This window comes from Homo sapiens, chromosome 2 (genome assembly GCF_000001405.40).
Source record: "Homo sapiens chromosome 2, GRCh38.p14 Primary Assembly".
NCBI lineage: Eukaryota > Metazoa > Chordata > Mammalia > Primates > Hominidae > Homo > Homo sapiens.
Window position 1 is genome coordinate 29909067 of NC_000002.12, and position 17360 is coordinate 29926426.

General features: G+C 43.5%; 1 protein-coding gene across 2 annotated transcripts in view; it reads right to left on the reverse strand.

The window, feature by feature from the left end:
• Positions 1-12520, reverse strand: part of ALK (ALK receptor tyrosine kinase) — a 728813-nt gene extending 716293 nt beyond the window's left edge. For both annotated transcript variants that reach the window (XR_001738688.3, NM_004304.5), the window contains exon 1: positions 10927-12520. Coding sequence is in view for 1 of the 2 variants with exons in the window: in NM_004304.5 (NP_004295.2) it covers positions 10927-11593 (667 nt within the window). In the remaining variant the exon portion in view is untranslated. The remainder of the gene's footprint in view (positions 1-10926) is intronic.

Consider the following 17360-nt stretch of genomic DNA (forward strand, 5'->3'; position numbering starts at 1 on the left):
TCTATATGGTATCTCAGGAGACAAGCTAGTATGACCTAGATCCCAAAGCTTATCATATAGGCTCCTGGCCATGATACAAGAACTAGCACTGCATGATCCTTCCTACCATGAATAACTGTAAAACTGACAAAATATTTGAAAGAAACTGTGGAATAATCAGCAACACAGGACTATAATCCTTGAAAGAGTGAGAATGTATGTGGTGGGCCCTAGCACTGTTCTGATTTTTTGCCTAGAGGCATTTACCAGACTCTGACACAGGAAAGAGAAGGCCAAAAAGAGCATAGTGGCCTCAGTGACTTGAGGTCATAGAGATTGGTGTCTAGAAAGGCTGAAGCAGCTCGAATTTCCAGGGAGCAAACCAGAGAAGGCACAACTAGACACACATACACACACAGAGAGAGACAGACAGACAGAGAGAGAGAGAGAGAGAGAGAGAGAGAGAGAGAGAGAATGCTCCACAAAACTGCCTAGAAGTCCTCTTGAGTCTTTGGCTAAATATTAAGTTGTGCATTCATACAGTGAGATTCCACAAGACTAAGCAAAGAGCAGCTACCAAGTAAAGAATAGCTATCAGGGAACTGTAAGCCAAACAATTTCTACAGCTCATACATGGAATTGGGAAATGTTTTTTAAGTGTGTAAGAACCAGAGAGGAGAGACCTCATTGAATACCTTTGAATACCCGAGGCATGTGATGGAGACTCCAGAAAGGCCAAACCTTAAGAGGAGGCTTAAACTAACCATAGAATAAAGACTTCTCTAAACTCCCTCAAACAAAGCTTGACAATAATCCTTGAAAGTATAAAATTGATGGACAAGTCAATTAACTGTCAAAGAAAATTCAAAAGTCTTTCAATGAAGACAAAAATGTCCACACATTCAGCAATGGAATATTCATAATGCACCACACCAAAAAAAAAAAAAAAAACAACTGCAAGGTATGCAAAGAAGCAGGAAAATGTGACCTATTTCCAAGAGAAAAACTGATCAATATAAGTAGACATAGAAATGATAGAAATACTATAATTAGTGGAAAGGAACTTTAAAATAGCTGTTATACGTGTTCAAGGACTTAGAGAAAGACATAAACATAATGAAGATAGAAATAAAAATGGAAGCAGAAATTCTAGAGCTGAAAATCAATACAGTATCTAAAGTGAAAACTTATTACATGGGCTGGTTTATTAGCACATTAGACACTATAGAAGAAAAGAGGGTGAACTTCAAAATATGCAATAAAAACTATGCAGACTGAAATACAGAGAGAAAAGGGGCTGAGAAAAAAAATGAACAGACCCTTAATAAAGTACGGGAACCATAAAAGTATAGCACAATTGTAATTGAATTCTTAGAAAGGAGGAGCAGAAAACAATTTTTTTAAAAATTTCCAAATGTGATGAAAAATATAAAGAGAACCAAGAGTCTATCAACAAATTGCTAGGAGGAAAAACACAAAGCAAATTACATAAGGGCACATCATTAATCAAATTTCTAAAATCCTATGATAAAAAGAAAATCCTAAGGAAGGCAGAAGGTGGGAAAGACATAACAGGAAACAGGTAAAGAGCATCTCTGACTCAGGAAATTCTCTGACTCACTGGAAATAATGCAAACCATGTAACAATGGAGCAACAGCATTAAAGTGCTATCCACCTGAAAGTATACCCAGTGAAAATCTTTTTCTGAAATGAAAGCAAAATAAAGTCACTTTCAGCAAACAAAAGCTGAGATAATTTAAATACAGAATAGCACAACATTAAATATTAAAGGCTAAAGGAAAAAATTACAGATGGAAACTCTGATTCAACATAGAAATGAGAAACTCCAAGTGCAGCCAAGATGAAATAAGCCCACAAAGTCCTGTTCATCCTGTTCTTTACAACCGAAATACTCTGGACGAAACAACAACAACAACAACAACAAGAAAAACAAAAAATGACTACTGGGGACTCTGAAAAGTAAAATCAGGAACATTGAGGAAGAGAGTCAAAACCTGAAAAAAGCAATTCATATGAAGGCAAGTCTTCTGTTTTTACCTCTTTTGTCTGTGAACTGAATGCAGGCACCCAGAAAATCTGTGGTGGTAGCACCATGGACAGCTAAGGGGCCCAAAGCAATCTTTTCTTTCTCACCCAAAGGACAGGGAAAGGAACTTTATGATTCAGTGAGTGCAGAGGAAAATCTACATTTACTTGTTTTTTCCTTCTTATCTCATGATGGTGACCCTTCAGTAGAGCCAGCATAGCTGCTGATAGAAACCCTCAAATAGAAACCCTGGTAGAAACCACAACTTTCAGGATAAAGGACTGGGAAAGGGGTCCCTTCAGTCCAAAGGGTATGGAGGGAATCCCCATTTTGTTTCTCTTTATCATCTCTCTACTTTCATCTGCTTTATCATCTCTCTGCTGTCATCTCTCAAGGGCAACCCTAAATGCAGGATCTGTGCAGCAATAATACAGGTAGGTAAAACTCTAAGTTTAAGGAGAATCCTAAAGAGAGCTGGAGAAGGAAATATGCTAATTCGCTGACGGAACTGGCCAAGGGCCTCAGCTCACCTGAGTGGCAGAGGTGTGGACAGACTCAAAGCAGAATAACAAAGGCTTTGAGAACAAAGCAAAGGTTCAAACCACACCCAACTCAGACCAAACAATGTAATGTACAAAATTTGCAGGATACAATCTCAAATTACTCAACATAAAAGAAAAAAAATGACTAATTCTTAAGAGGAAAGATATCATATGCCAATAATAAGATCATCCAGATGTTGGAATTATCAAAGACGTGAAAGAAGCTGTTATGACCATGTCCCATAAGGTGAAAGTAAACACTCTGGAAAATGAATGGAAAGGTAGTTCTCATCAAGAAACAGAAGTCATTGTCAAATATGAAACATTTAAACTGGAAACTAAAATATCTAAAGTAAATAATTATATCAGAATGGAGATAACAGAGGAAAGAGTCAATCAACTTGAGGATAGGTCAATAGAAATTGTTCAATCTACAGAACAAAGAGAAAAATTTCAAAAAAAGAAATTAGCAGCGTCTCAAGAGCATGGGAGATCTAACAGGTGTGTAATCAGAGTCTCAGGAGAGGAATATATTGGTGCAGGAAAAAAAGGAGAAAATAATAATTGAAAAATCCCATTTGATGAAAGACATAAACTTATAGACTCAAGAGTCTCAAAAAACTACAAACAGGATAAAGTCAAATAAAACCATGCAGAGATACATCATAATCAAATTCTGAAAACCAAAAGCCAAGAAAAAAATATTGAAAGCAATTACAAAAAGGAACAACAATGTAATGGCAGATTGCTCATCACAAACTATGAAGGACACAGGAACAAAATAGTTAAAGTGTGGAAAGAAAGGAACTGTCAATGCATAATTCTGAACCTAGTAAAAATATCCTTCAGGAACTAAGAGAATTTATCGTCAATAGTCTTATTCTAATGGAAATGCAAAAAAAGACCTCTTTAGGCTGAAGGGAAATAATAAAATAGGAAATATTGAAACTTGAGGAAAAGGGAAGAGCAAAAGAAATGGTATATATCTGGATAGCTATAAAGGACTATTTTTCTATTTAAAAGTTATTTAAAACACGCATGACTGGCATATATATATATTTTATTTATAATACATATATAAATATACAGGCTTAGCAAGTTTAAGAGAGTTGTAGAAGATTGCAAAGCTAACAAAAGATAAAGAACATCATAGAATTCATGTCTTCGAGCTCCTAATCTAGTGTTCTCCTCACCACAGAACACTTACTTTACTTATCTGGGCTTAAAAGAGTCCTTTCCATGCTCACCCTCATGAACTCACATTCCAATGAAAACTAAATAAAAGATAAGTAGGGGTCAAAGAAAAATATAACCAATGGTTCAATCTATCCTCATTTCCTTTGGCTAGTTTCCTGATTTCTTTAAGCCTGCCTAGATTTCCCTTGTCCTCTAACTTCATACCTTTTTCATACCTTCCTTTAGCTTTATTCTTACTCTAAGGATTTCTGACTGCCTACCACTGCATGCACCTGTTGTTAGTCAGAAAGGTAAGGTGCAAGAAAAAAAAAAGACTCTTAAATAACCAAGGGATTGGGTGTATCTTCCCCAAGGGAGATCTTCTCTGCCCACTTTCTGGAATATGTACACCACAACACAAAGCGAATCTGATAGAATTTCCCTGGGAAAGGACCCAAGCTCAGAACAGCCAGCTGAAAAATTCATCACAAAATTTACTGAAGAAAAATAAGCTATTCTGAAAAATACAATTAATCAAAAAGCATACTGAAGAATGCCTCCAACCTCCTCCACTACCTCACCACCAGGCCAACACTCCCTGCTTACATCTTGACCTGTGTGAAAGAGCCCTGGTCATCACAAGGTTAAGAAACATTGGCCACACCCTAGACCACAGAGCAACACAATGGCTGTAAAGAAGAAGGACTCCTTGATAGCTTTATTCTCAGCTCTCTCCACATGATCCTAGACCTACAACCATCCTCACCCACACGCCTTATTTTTTATCTACTCCCAAGTAGAAATGATGTTCATGTGCATCTTTTGGAGGCAATGGCTCAGCTATGGTTCATAGAAACCACCATGTACAAAATGTTCTGTGGTTCTTAGCCTCTTTTTTTAGATTGAGGGATCTTCCTGAGGCAGCCTCCCACTCAAGTCCCTGGGTTATACGTCTCCAGGGAGTCTCAAAGTTTAACTGCTCTTAATGTGCTCAGGTCCATTAACCAGTTGGTAATTTACATTTCTCTCCATATTCTCCACTTGGCAATGAAGGGTGATGCTGAAAATACAGAAAGAACACATCTTCAGCTAATTAAAATAAAAGAGTTACCAGAGGCCAGTAGCCCAGTGCCTCTAGACCTGGACAGAGCACTCTCAGTTAAGAAACGTCTGCCATCTGAAAATGATTCCGCTGTAACATCTCTATCTTGTTCTTCCTCCATCTTAACTTTCATATTTTCATAAAGTTAAGCCTTGGTTTCCTTCTGTAGGAAAAAAGAACTGGATTGCGAATATGCTGGTGGACTCTTTGAACTGAATCCAAAGTCAAAAGGCTTACGAGAGGACATTAATTCATGGGGAGGAAGTAAATACCACACTTCAATCCTCCTTTCCATGCATATTTCTGAGAAAGTCGCCTTCCATGGTGAAATGGTAGAAACTACTACACTTATAACTCTCTTCATTTCCCATACATCCCACCTTTCATCTCTTAGGGGTAAGAAGCTAGTTGAATGGAGAACAACAGCATCACAACTGCTGCTGCCAAGATTGCCACACATGGCCACACATAGAGATTACAACTCCAGATGGCACCATTCAGACAGACTAAAATGTATATGGAACCCCTAGAGTTGCAGAGTGCACAGCCTGCATGACCAGATGCTGGAGTGCAGCTGTTGCTATTATATAAAAAAACAATAGTGGTTCATATTGATGAAGCACTTTATTTTGCATCAGGCATTGGGTTAAGGATTTGCACACATCATCTAATTTAATCCTCATGACAACACCTTGAACTATTACTATCCCCATTTAGGAACATTTAAGAACTATTATATCCCTATTTTTCTAATGATAAAGCTGGGCCTCAATGATTTCAAGGAATTTTTCCAAGCCCTGGCTATTGCCCACCAAATATTTGTTGCATGGTCTTCTAGCAAGGATACTGGAAATTTTTTCACCTATTGACATGTCTTGCTCTTTGTAATCTGCACTTGGAGATGATTCCCTTAGTGGAAAGAACTCTGACTTGAAGGAAAGGGGAACTGTGGTTCTAGTCAGTATGAAAGTTTCCAGGTGTATACCATTTTGTGCTATATGACCTGGAAAAATATGGTCTGGATTCCAGTTACTTCATTTACAAAATAAAGCAAACATTTGTCCTGCCTACCATAGGATTAATAAGTAATAATAAATGTGAACATGCTTTATAAATTGTAAAGTTCCAAATAACCATAACAGGACACTAATAATGATTATAAAGAAAGGCAAAATTTCCTTTACAGGTCAGACTGGAAAAATTTCCATGTTGTGAGGTTGCCAGGCAGTGATCCTGAGTGGCAGGGCACTGAGACTTCTGCTGATCAACTCTCATTCTTTTCTTCTCCCACCTTCAGGCCAGTTCCTCCTGATTTTCAGCAGACCAACTTCCTTATAGATATTCCTTTCTCACTCTGTTGCCCAGGCTGAAGTGAGGTGGCACAATCTCAGCTCACTGAAACCTCCAACTCCCAGGTTCAAGCAACTCTCCTGAGTAGCTGGAACTAAGGCGCATGCCACAATGCCTGGCTAATTTTTTTATTTTTAGTAGAGACAGGGTTTCACCATGTTGGCCAGGCTGATCTCGAACTCCTGACCTCAAGTGATCTGCCCTCCTCGGCCTCCCAAAATGCTGGGATTACAGGCATGAGCCACTGCGGCCAGCCTAGATACCCATTTTTATTAATAATCACACTCTCCTCCCATGCCTTACACAAAAACCCCTCATGGACCTTCTTTCTCTTTTAAAAATTTTTGAAATGTTAAATTGGATGTGGATGAACTTCATCTTTCAAATGGCAATATAGATTCTCAACATTTAAAGGGATTTTTAAGTAGCCAGTAGGAGTCCACCAAATCTAGAACTGATGGCATCTTCTCAAGACACAGGTCACCTTTTGCCCTGCTCAGTGATGCTTTGTCATATACCCTCACCCATAGATGTATCTTAGATACACAATTCTCTGGTGATTGTGCCTCCCAAACCCCTGGATATACAGATCGCACCCCAGAGAAATAATCTATGTTTAATTGGAGGGCAGGGAAGAATAAATTCAGTAATTTCAAAATATTTGTCATTAACAATTTCTTAAGTGCTTCTCACCAACTTCAAAGATGTATATGCAATTCTTTTCTTTTCCTCTAAAAACACCAATGCCCAAAGGCTCCAGGGTTTGGATCATAAAAAGGTTCTGATTCCTTCTGCCATTCTGCATCCCAGCTCTCTGTCCTGTTGTAGCTTCTCAATATGTGAAAATATAGAACTGATTAATTAGGAATGCTGGGACTTGTCTGACCCACATCTCACCTGACTCCCCACTCCATTGGAATTCCATTCCATAGTCAGAGGAATATCAATGTCAGAAAACAAGGTTTCCCTGATATCCAACCCGAAGTTTGCTTCTACAAGTATGATCCAATTACTTCCATGGGCCACGCTAAATAACTCCTCTCCTTCACTGCCACTCTCTCTCTTCAGAGATTTGTAGATTGTTACCATGGCTTTCCCTTCATCGCCATTTAGCCCAGCCATATATATTTAATTCTTTTCATCTTTCATTGTAAATCAGTCCCTTCAACTGTTAAATCAGCTCTCTGCTCTTCTCTGGACTAGTTCCAATTCTCCCAATTCACCTCCAATAACTGATATCCCTTCTGGGAGCTCCAATTTCCTCTCCATCCTCCTTTGCTCTCTCTGCCCACTCCAGAAATGAAATGGGAAGGGACTGACAGATATGGGAGTTCAAAGGTCAGATATATTGCATTGCATACATCTCTAAATTGCTCAGGCCTCTCCATAGTACATGTAAAATCCAAAGTCATGTATCCACTTTCCTGGGTGGGGAGGGAGTGCTTACAGGGAAATAGGCCTCCTATCCCATGAGTCATCATCCCCTAGCCCTCTGCCTGGGTGACAGCAGAAACAGATCTCAAAACACCTGTAAGCCAGGATACAAACTGGAGCTGTGGGCAACATGCCAGCCTTGCAGACAGACATCTTTTCTATGATTTGGGCTGTCCTGGGAGAGGCCAGAACCATTAATACAGTCCCAGAAACTGCCTCTTCACCTCTTCTCCATGAATGGGTGAATTTGGGATCTGCCTCAGACTTGAAATGCCGATCCTATTTCTGAATTCACAGTAACCCACAAGGAAAAACCATTAGCATTTCATGCATTATAAGGCCTCTCAGACATCTTTCTGTCCTCTCAGACAGCCCAAATCACAAGCAATGCAACGGTTTTGCTTTCTCCTAACTGGTGCTTTTTCATTTTTACTATTTTAGTCATGGTCCTGCTCAGGTTTAGGAAGCTATCTTTGGTCTGAGCCAAATGGGCTGCTCCAGGCCCCTCACCACAAAACATGGAAGAACAATCAGCTCTTCCCTCCCCCACAAATAGCCCCATCAGCATCATTGTGTACCTCCAGACAAGACACTTGGGCAGACACAGGAAGAAAATAAGCTGAGCTGTGCCTACTTTCCTTCTGTATAATTGAAGAGCCCACATCATAGAAGAGTTAAATGCCTTTTCTATAAATCAGAGCCTATATAAAAATAATAAACCCATTTCTCCAAACATGATAAATAGCAAAATCAATCCCAGTGTCAGAACCTAACCTTGAATTTTCATAGGGAAAATGAACGGAACCATAATGATACATGTTGTCTGAAACACAGAACATGGTATAGCAAGGTGTATCTACTCCATGGGGATGTCTGCAATGGAGACTGTATCTGAATGAGGCTGGGGAGGCAATGATAATGTGAGAGAGGCTAGTCCTGCATGGCCAGCTGCCTAACTGCAGACAGCATATGTCCTCAGAGAAAGGAGAGACCAGGCTGTTCCAAGTATGATCACCACAAGGCCCGAAGTGCTTTTCAATAGGCTGGCTGTCTCTCTGGAGGTCATGGGGAGCTCATCCAGTTACACTTAGTGTCTTATTTGATCCTATCAATAATCATTTGATTCCAATCCTGCTGAAAAATGCTTGGCCAAATTTTCTTGCCTTTTAATGGCAGAATCCTGGCTCCTACTGAAATCAGCATTGCTAGATGTGTCAAATGATGCATAAGGGCTTGGTCCAGCTGCCAAATGTACTGGGCCACTGAGGGAGGGCTTGGGATGCCCACAATGCTTCCCTACAGCCAATAGCAGAGAAGCCCTTGGAGCACAGCCTTTCTACATAAACCTCCCCACTCAGCAGCTCCAACACCTTATTTAAGACTTGAGTGGAGTATATTCTTTAAATGAATTAAGCATGTGACTCTTCAGAGACACCCACTGATAGCTTCATGCAACCTACCTGTTTACAGTTGGCAGGTTCGGGGCTGTAGAAATGAGCCCTTTTGCCTGTCACCAACATCTGACAACAGCTGATACAGACTGCTGGATTCTATGGTCATTTGATAAAAGGTGATGGGGAAGCTCCACAGATGCTCAGAGGCATGAAACTAGAAGATAATCTGCATTTCCAGAGAAGTCATTTTTATATCCATTACTAAAACACTGGGCACTAAAACAGAATGTTGCATGTATAAACCACACAAACCACAATGACATTAAAGCCCAGCTGTTCTTTACAAAAACATCTTGGGTGGAACAACAGTATCAGTCTTCCATCTCAGTTCACTGAAGGCACTATCAAACTCATCAGTGCCTCTTAGGATGGTCTATATAAATTCCAGCACTAAATGAAAAGGGCTCACTTTAGGTGCCAGTGTCACTAACACTAATGTTGAAATGTGCATCCGCACTCTGTTTTTCTTGGGGGTCACATACTAGTATGTATTCTGTGCAATGACTAGGGAACCTCAGCTTCTGAATATCCCTCCTGCATGAGAGTACTCGTGTGTGTGTGTATGTGTGTGCACAAGCATGCAAGATACTTGTAGCTCTACAATGGGCCCTTTTCAATGGTTTCCATCCAATTAATATTAGACATTAGTAGCCAGTGGAGCATAAGAACTTCATTTATTTCTGATGATGAGAATGATAGAAAAGAAGCTGGGTTTGCTTGATGGAATTTGTGTAGGCTTTTTAAAAGCCTGATTTCTTTTCTGTGCCTTTCTTATTCATTTACATTGTATATTTTATTCACAAGTCTTCCCCAGTTGTCTTACAAGAAGAACATCGATTCAAAACCACCTGGTTTTCCAGTCAAAGGATACTCTGGAAAGAGTTAGAAGTAAGTGCCTGCACACACACACACCCCCAACTCAGTGAATATGGCAAGAAATGAGGGAGTAAATGAAACAGAAAAATCTCATTTTAGGAGTCTCCAGCAGGGAGATCTGCAGTGAAACAAGCTGCCAGAGACTATCATCAAGAGCTGCTGCTGCAGACGTTCAAGCTAAGAATCAGAGGGGAAAGGAGGAGTGGGGAAAGGTAAGAAAAGCAGGAAAACCAACGATGGTTTCTCCCTGGCTTCATAGTGACTCCCCAAAGGAAGACAATCTTGACAACTTTCCTTCCTTCCTCCACACCTCCCTCCTGTCCTCTGTTCCTTAGTTTCTCTGGGGCTTTCCCAACAACATGTAAGAGAAAGGATGAGTCGAGAGTGCATAGCAGACTGGGTGGGGGTGGGAGGGGGAGAATAAATAAATAAAGAAGAGACAATCCCTGGCAATACCTGCCCAAGCCAACGTTTGGAATGGGGACAGTTGGGTGAGATTCAATAATATGAAGAGAAATTCTATATTCCCTGAGAAGGTACCATATTTCCCAAATCTGTGCTGGCCAGGAACAAGAGGGAGAGAAGGGCAATAGTTTTGACATCTACTACTAAGCTTGGAACCTGGAAGTAATCGGGGCATTTCAACTGTCCCGGGGCCCAGGAAGAGGGGCGCCCAATTTTGTCTCGGACAGCGTATAAGTCCAGAGAAGAAGGCGCTCTGCCAAGAGTATGAAACTTTTCCCCCAACTTGGTTGCTAAAGAGGAAGGAAGACCCCTGAACTGCGTTCAGGGAGAAAACAAGAAACTACGGTCTGATTCGGGAAGGAGGTTTGCGGGAGGAAGGAGGGCGATGAAGCAGAGCTGAGGTTTTAGAAAGTGGGGTGGAAGTGAAGATTATTTAATGGTTGCATATCAATGTGACTAAAAACACTAAATCCCGGCACACTCAGGCGGGAGCTGCTCACCAGTCCCGAAGATCTGGAAGAGAAGGCGGGGCTGGGAGGCGCGAATTGCCGCGGACAGCCTTCCCTCTCTGCCCACTTCCGACGCCTTCTTCTCGGGCATCAGGCGGATCCTCAGTCGCCCTTCGCCTTGGCGAATCCACCAACTGAACAGCTCGCTGAGATTGAACTGGAGCAGCCCCACAGCCGCCTCCCCGGGGGGCCCGACGCAACCCTCCAAGATCGCCTCCTCGCCCAGCTCCAGCACCAACTGCTTGGCACGCCGGAGCTTGCGCACGGAGCCGCCCTTCAGCACCCTGGACAGCGTCCGGGCCTCTGCCGGGGCTGGTGAACCGGCGGTCCAGGAGACCCCCGGCGCCGGCCCCAGCAACCTGAGCAGCGGGGCGCAGTCCAGAGCTAGCGAGCCGCGGGCCTCGGGCCTGCCAGCCTTCAGCTCCGAGGAGGATGGTGGCAGCAGTAGGTCCCGGGCGTAGACACGGAAGAGCGAGGGCACCACGAAGTCAACTGCCAGACTCTTCCTCTGCAGGCGCGAGTAGCTGAGTGGCTCCCGGGGCTGCAGCGGCGGCCCCGCAGCTGGGGAGCCCGCGCGCTGGCCGGTCCCCATCCCGGAGCCCACAGCTGCCGTGGAAAGCAGCAGCGGCAGGAGCCACAGGAGCCCGATGGCTCCCATCCCGCCGGAGGAGGCCGTTTACACTGCTCTCCGGGCCCAGCCTCACCCTTCGCTCTCCCCGAGATGGGAAGAGGCTCTGAACAGTCCTTGGTACCCAGCGGCTCCTTCCACCTGATCTCCAGAGGACTGTGCGTGCGCGCAAGTCTCTTGCTTTCCCCCAACTGCACGGAGGCGAGCAGGAGTCTAAATGAAACAGACCTGGAAGCTCAGGGGCGAGTCCAGAGACACTCAAGCACACTGGGCTCACTGGCTGGGACCTTGAGCCTCCCGCTCTCCGCGCCGAGTGCCGCGCCCCCGTCTGTAGCTCGCTGCGCTCGGTACAGAGGAACTACTATGGTTGAAGGGAGGTGGCAGTTGGGTACCGTCCTCTCCTGCCCCCCGCAGTCGGAGCTGGGGTCTGTCCCCTCTCGGGGCAGCCTCCAATCTCTGCAACTTTTAAGGCTGAGAACGGCGGCTCCCAGCTGCTGCACGCTGTCCTGGCCGCCTTTTGCGTTCCTTTTGGCTCCTCCAAGCTCTTCTGCCCGGTCTGGGCGGGAACCGAGGGCGGAGGCTGCCGTCTTGCGCACCCTCAAGCTATCTCTCCGCTGCGGGAAGGCTTCGGACTGTCTGCCTGCTGAACTTCTGGGCGTGAATCCCAGCCCCCGCGCTGCGCAAGTTTGCAGCGTCCTTGCTCTCACCGGCGCCTCGGCTCCTCAGAGTTCGCAGGCACTGGAGCGGCCCCGGCGGCAGCAGCTGAGGGCGTTCAGGGCAGGGGCGCCCGAAATCTTGCCGCCCCCTCCTCACCCATCATCAGCGCCCGCGGCTTTGGGTGGCCGACCAGAGGGCGGCCGGAAAGCACCTCGGTGCCCCGCGACCCTCCGAACAGAGGCGGCGGGAGGTACCAGCTGCTACCACCGCTGCCGCCCCCAGAGCCGCTGGATCGCATCTGCCTGGGCGCCCGCCACTTGCAGCTGGCTGAGCCGCGCGAGCGCGCGCAGGGAGGGGGCGGGGCCCGGAGGGGGCGGGGCTCACAAGCCAACTCCGCGCTGCTGCCCGACCCACGCAGTCCGGCCTCGCCCCGCCCCACCCGCACCCTCCAACCAATGGCGTGGCTCGATCGGCTCCTATGCAAATCTGCAGAGGCCTCGGCATTCATTGAGAAAAGGAGTGAGCCCGCCCCACCCTCCCTCTGTTCCCTCTCCAGTCTCTTGTTCTTCCCCTCCTCTAGATTCCCTGCCCTATTTCTCTGCAGTGTGAAAGGGAGCAAATGTGAGAACTGGAAGAGGCCTTTGCAATCAAGCACTCTCCCTAATTATACATTTAAGAGATTAAACGGGTCCGACTTCGGAAAAACAGGTTCCAGAATAAAACTGGAGGAGAGGGGAAGGGAGGGGGGAGTGGGAAGGGAGGAGGAAGTGGGGAGAGGGTGGCAGCGCGACACTGGCAAATCTGAGAACAGCTTGTATTAAGGCCCTGAGACAGAATATTTTCTGACCCATCTATTATTTGAATGCATTCCTGGGAGCTTAGGAGTCCTGCCGTCCACACAGGAGAATTTGGGAATAGGGGGGCAGAGAGGGATGGATGGTCTTGGTCTGGCAGAGTTGTTCTGCAGCTACAACAAATACCTTTCAGACCCCTGTCAGTCGCTCTGTTTTCTCAGAATGGTGTCTGAACATGTGTAACCTCCCCTAGTCTCTGTAAGGCAAACATTTTAATTCCAGATTTACAGATGCAGAAACTGAGTTGCAGAGCATTTAATTGTTTGCCCACAATCTTGGGAATGAGGGTTCAGAACCTTAGGCCTTTTTTACTCACCTGTAATGGCTGTACCTCTCCTCTCCCTTTCCTTTCGTCTCTCCTGAGCTGCCAACACAGAACTCATAATAGCTGTTTTTATAACAAGTGGTTCACTAGATCCTCAGACAAAACTACCATCTTTGGGTCACACAAATCCCCTTGATTCCTTCTTAAAGGCTGGTTGTCAGGCCTTGGGCTGACTGTTGAAGCTAAGAATAAGGCAAGATCCTCTCTGGAGCTCACGGCCTGTCGGGTAGCACAGGAGTTTTCTCACAGGATCAGAGCACAGTGTCACATTGAACCTCCCTCACTGAGCTCCTGGGGGCCGCAGTAACTTGCCTACCACCCCACAGGAGATAGTGGCCAGGTGGAACCTCTGTTCTCCTAGGAGCTGGGCCTTTCCAGCTTTGTGGCAATGCCTTGGCAAGTGGAAGACCCAGTAACAAAGGAATATTGATTCTCGGAATGGCTTTCTTCCTGCTCTATGTTTGGCAACTCACTTAATTTGACAGGCATCTGCCCTCTCTCTGGAAGTCACACTGGATACACTGACTTTACAAGTTTCAGGGCAAAGAATTATCTCACCCGAGAAGAAAATATGCTCCTATCTTGGTGGAGGAAGGGTGGAAAAGAAAGAAAAGAGGGAGGAAAATGCTATGGTAGTTAATACTTTCCTGGTACAATATATGTTTGATTTTCATCAGATTTTTCTGACATACCTACTGGAAGAGGAATTTTTATTTGAAATATGAAAAAAGACTAAAACTCCAGCCTTTCCCTATTTCTCTATACAATTCTTGACCAAAGGCATTACTGACTCCAGTTAATTTGTCAGTTAACTGTGAATCGTCTGCTGCACCCAATGGCCACTAGGGGGCTGCAGAGACTTGAAACTTTAAATGAGCTGCCAGGGTTTAACGTTCTCTAATAATACCCCTGTCCATTGCTTTTGCACCTCATAGACACAAGAGTCTCAATTAATTCTCATGATTTATACATTGTCTCAAACTTTTCCCAAGGAAAAATAAGTGCCTTTCCCTGTAGATTAAATGACACTAAATCTCAAAAAATTTCTTCTTTTTTAGATAATTTTTTTTTAAAGGAGGCAGGAATTAATACTGATAGTCTACCAGGCACGAATGTATGCATCTGTAGACATGTGGGTGTCTAACACATCACACAGTTTTTTTGGGAAAGGGTATATGTTATTATTTCTATTACAGAGATAAAACAGCTAAGGCTCAGAAAGGCAAAATAATTTGCCCAAGGTAAAACAGCAAGCAAATAACAGAGTTGGAATTCAAACCGCTGACTCTTTTCCTCCAACATTTACACAACCCACTGAGAAAAGTTAGGACCTTAACTCATGCCCAAATTTATAATTTTAACACCCCATCCTACATAATTTCCATCAAAAGGATGGGAGACGGGAAAATGAATTTAAGAGCACATAGGGGAAATAGACAGAAAGATGAAAAGTGTGAGAATGATTGCTAACACATCTTGTGCACTTATTATGATCTATTTCAAAAAGACTTTCATTCACTATCTCATTTCATATTCCCAGTAACACTCTGAGGAAAAGTAATAGTATCTCTTTTCTACAGATCACAAATAGAAGCTCAGGGAGGTTAACTCCCCGACAAAGCTACACAGGTAACTAGAGCTGAACCTGGATACCTGACTAAGAAGTTCATGCTCTTAAATTCTGGGTGATCTCCCGCATGTTCTCACTCATAGGTGGGAATTGAACAATGAGAACACATGGACACAGGAAGGGGAACATCACACTCCGGGGACTGTTGTGGGGTGGGGGGAGGGGGGAGGGATAGCATTAGGAGATATACCTAATGTAAATGACGAGTTAATGGGTGCAGCACACCAACATGGCACATGTATACACATGTAACAAACCTGCACATTGTGCACATGTACCCTAAAACTTAAAGTATAATAATAATAAAATAAAATAAAATTTCTGGGTGATCTCACAATAGAGAAAATGGGATGAGGTAAAATGGATTGAGATGAGCCAAGATCAACAGAGGAAGAAGCTGAAAGGCCAAATCAGAGAGATGGGGAGTGGAAGTGGCAGACATAGATTCTGACATAGATACTGGAATCCCCAAGGAGACAATTAGGTGGGCTGCTCTGTGTCACCTTGCAGATGACTTGGGCCATTGGGCTGGGGGAGGAGGAATGTGAGTTGACCATGTACCAAGAGAGGAAGTGGCCAAAGAGGACACTGAGACCACCAACAACCTCCTCAGGAAATTCCCAATTTCTGGAAAGGGCAAAGTGAACAACTCAGTCAAGGAGGTACATAAATTCTCTATAAGAGAAGTAATAATAAAAATGACATGAGAAATTCAGCAATGTGACTTAAGGTAAAACATATCTCACAACTGCAAAATCTGATTGGGACATATAGGATCAAGTTAGGCATTTTGTTGGTCAACAGATACTCCTCGTGTACCTAATGTATACAGGATGTTGTTCTATGTTCCAGGAATTTTTTGCTCTGGACAAAATAAAAGGTCCTTCACCTTAAGAAGCTTACACTCTAATGATGAGAAACAGATAATAAATGTGCAAGCACATAAAGTAATTTAAGATAATAATAGTTGCTATAAAAAACAAAATAGGGCCATGCGGTAGATGACTTGGGACAGCAGGTGCGGGTGCTGTCCTAGCTCTACCTTCATAGTTGAAGAAGTCCTCTTTAAGGAGGTTACAGTTAAGTCCTGATTGGTGGGAAAGAGGCAGTCATGAAAAGCTTTCGAGAAAGAACGTTCTAAGCAAAGGAATATCACAGGCAATGGTCCTGAGATGAGAATAGCTTTGCATGTCCAGTAGACAGTAAGAAATCAATCTGGCTGGAACATAGTGAACAGAAGACAGAAAGGTGGAGGGGCAGCCAAGGTCTAGATCTTCTACAGTTGGATAGGCCATGGTAACAAGTTTGCATTTTGATTGCAATGGGAAGACACTACTTTAGCGGAAAGTCTCATACTCTGATTTATGCTGTAGACTTGCACTGTTTAATATGGTAGCCATTAGTCATATGTGGCAATTGAACACATGAAATATGCCTCATCCAAACTCAAATGGGCTCTAAGTGTAAAGTACACACCACATTTCTAATGTTTATTATGAAAAAAATATATAAAATCCCTCCTTAGTATTTTTCATATTGAATACATGTTTAAATGATAATATTTTGGGTATATCAGGTTACATAAAATATATTATTCAAGTTAATTTTACTTTATTAAATTAATTTTACTTTAGTTAATGTAGCTAGTATTCTGGGCTTGGTCAAGAGTTTTAACCTCTTGGCCTTATCTCTCCTGTTTAAAAGTGGATTATAATCTATTTCTGACAAAGTTGTCGTGACAAATATAGCAAATGTGAAAATTCCTAAGGGCATGATAGGTACCCTTACCTTCGCTAAGCTAAAGCAAGTCAATAATCATGGTCAAATGTCAAAAATAAAGACAGGATACAGTTGTATTCTGGCTGGGGGAAACCACGTGTTATATGAGAGAGACAGAGATTGAGAGAGAGAAGAGGAAGAAGAAGAAGAGGAAGAGGAAGAAGAAGGAGGAGGAGGAGGAGCAGCAGCAGCAGGAGCAGGAGCAGCAGCAGCAAGCAGGAGGGAGGTGAGGAGGAGAAGGGGGATAAAAAGGCAAGAGACAAATCAATAAGTAGACCTGAAACTAGATATCAGAGTATACTTATTGCTAAGGCATTTGGAAACCCATGACCAAAGGAACTTACCCTGGGCCAAGAGCAAGAATTGGCACCCAGAAGAAACATTCAAATGAACCAAGACTTGTGTTCAGGAAAGTAGATTTTCATCCCAGCCTTTCTTCTCAGAGGTTCTGTGACTTTGGGAAAACCTTTGGCTTATCCAGACTCCTGTTTCAAATTAGAAGAAAGGACCAAGTATAGTCTTTAAGATACAAGTCTGAAATCCTCTGTGAAA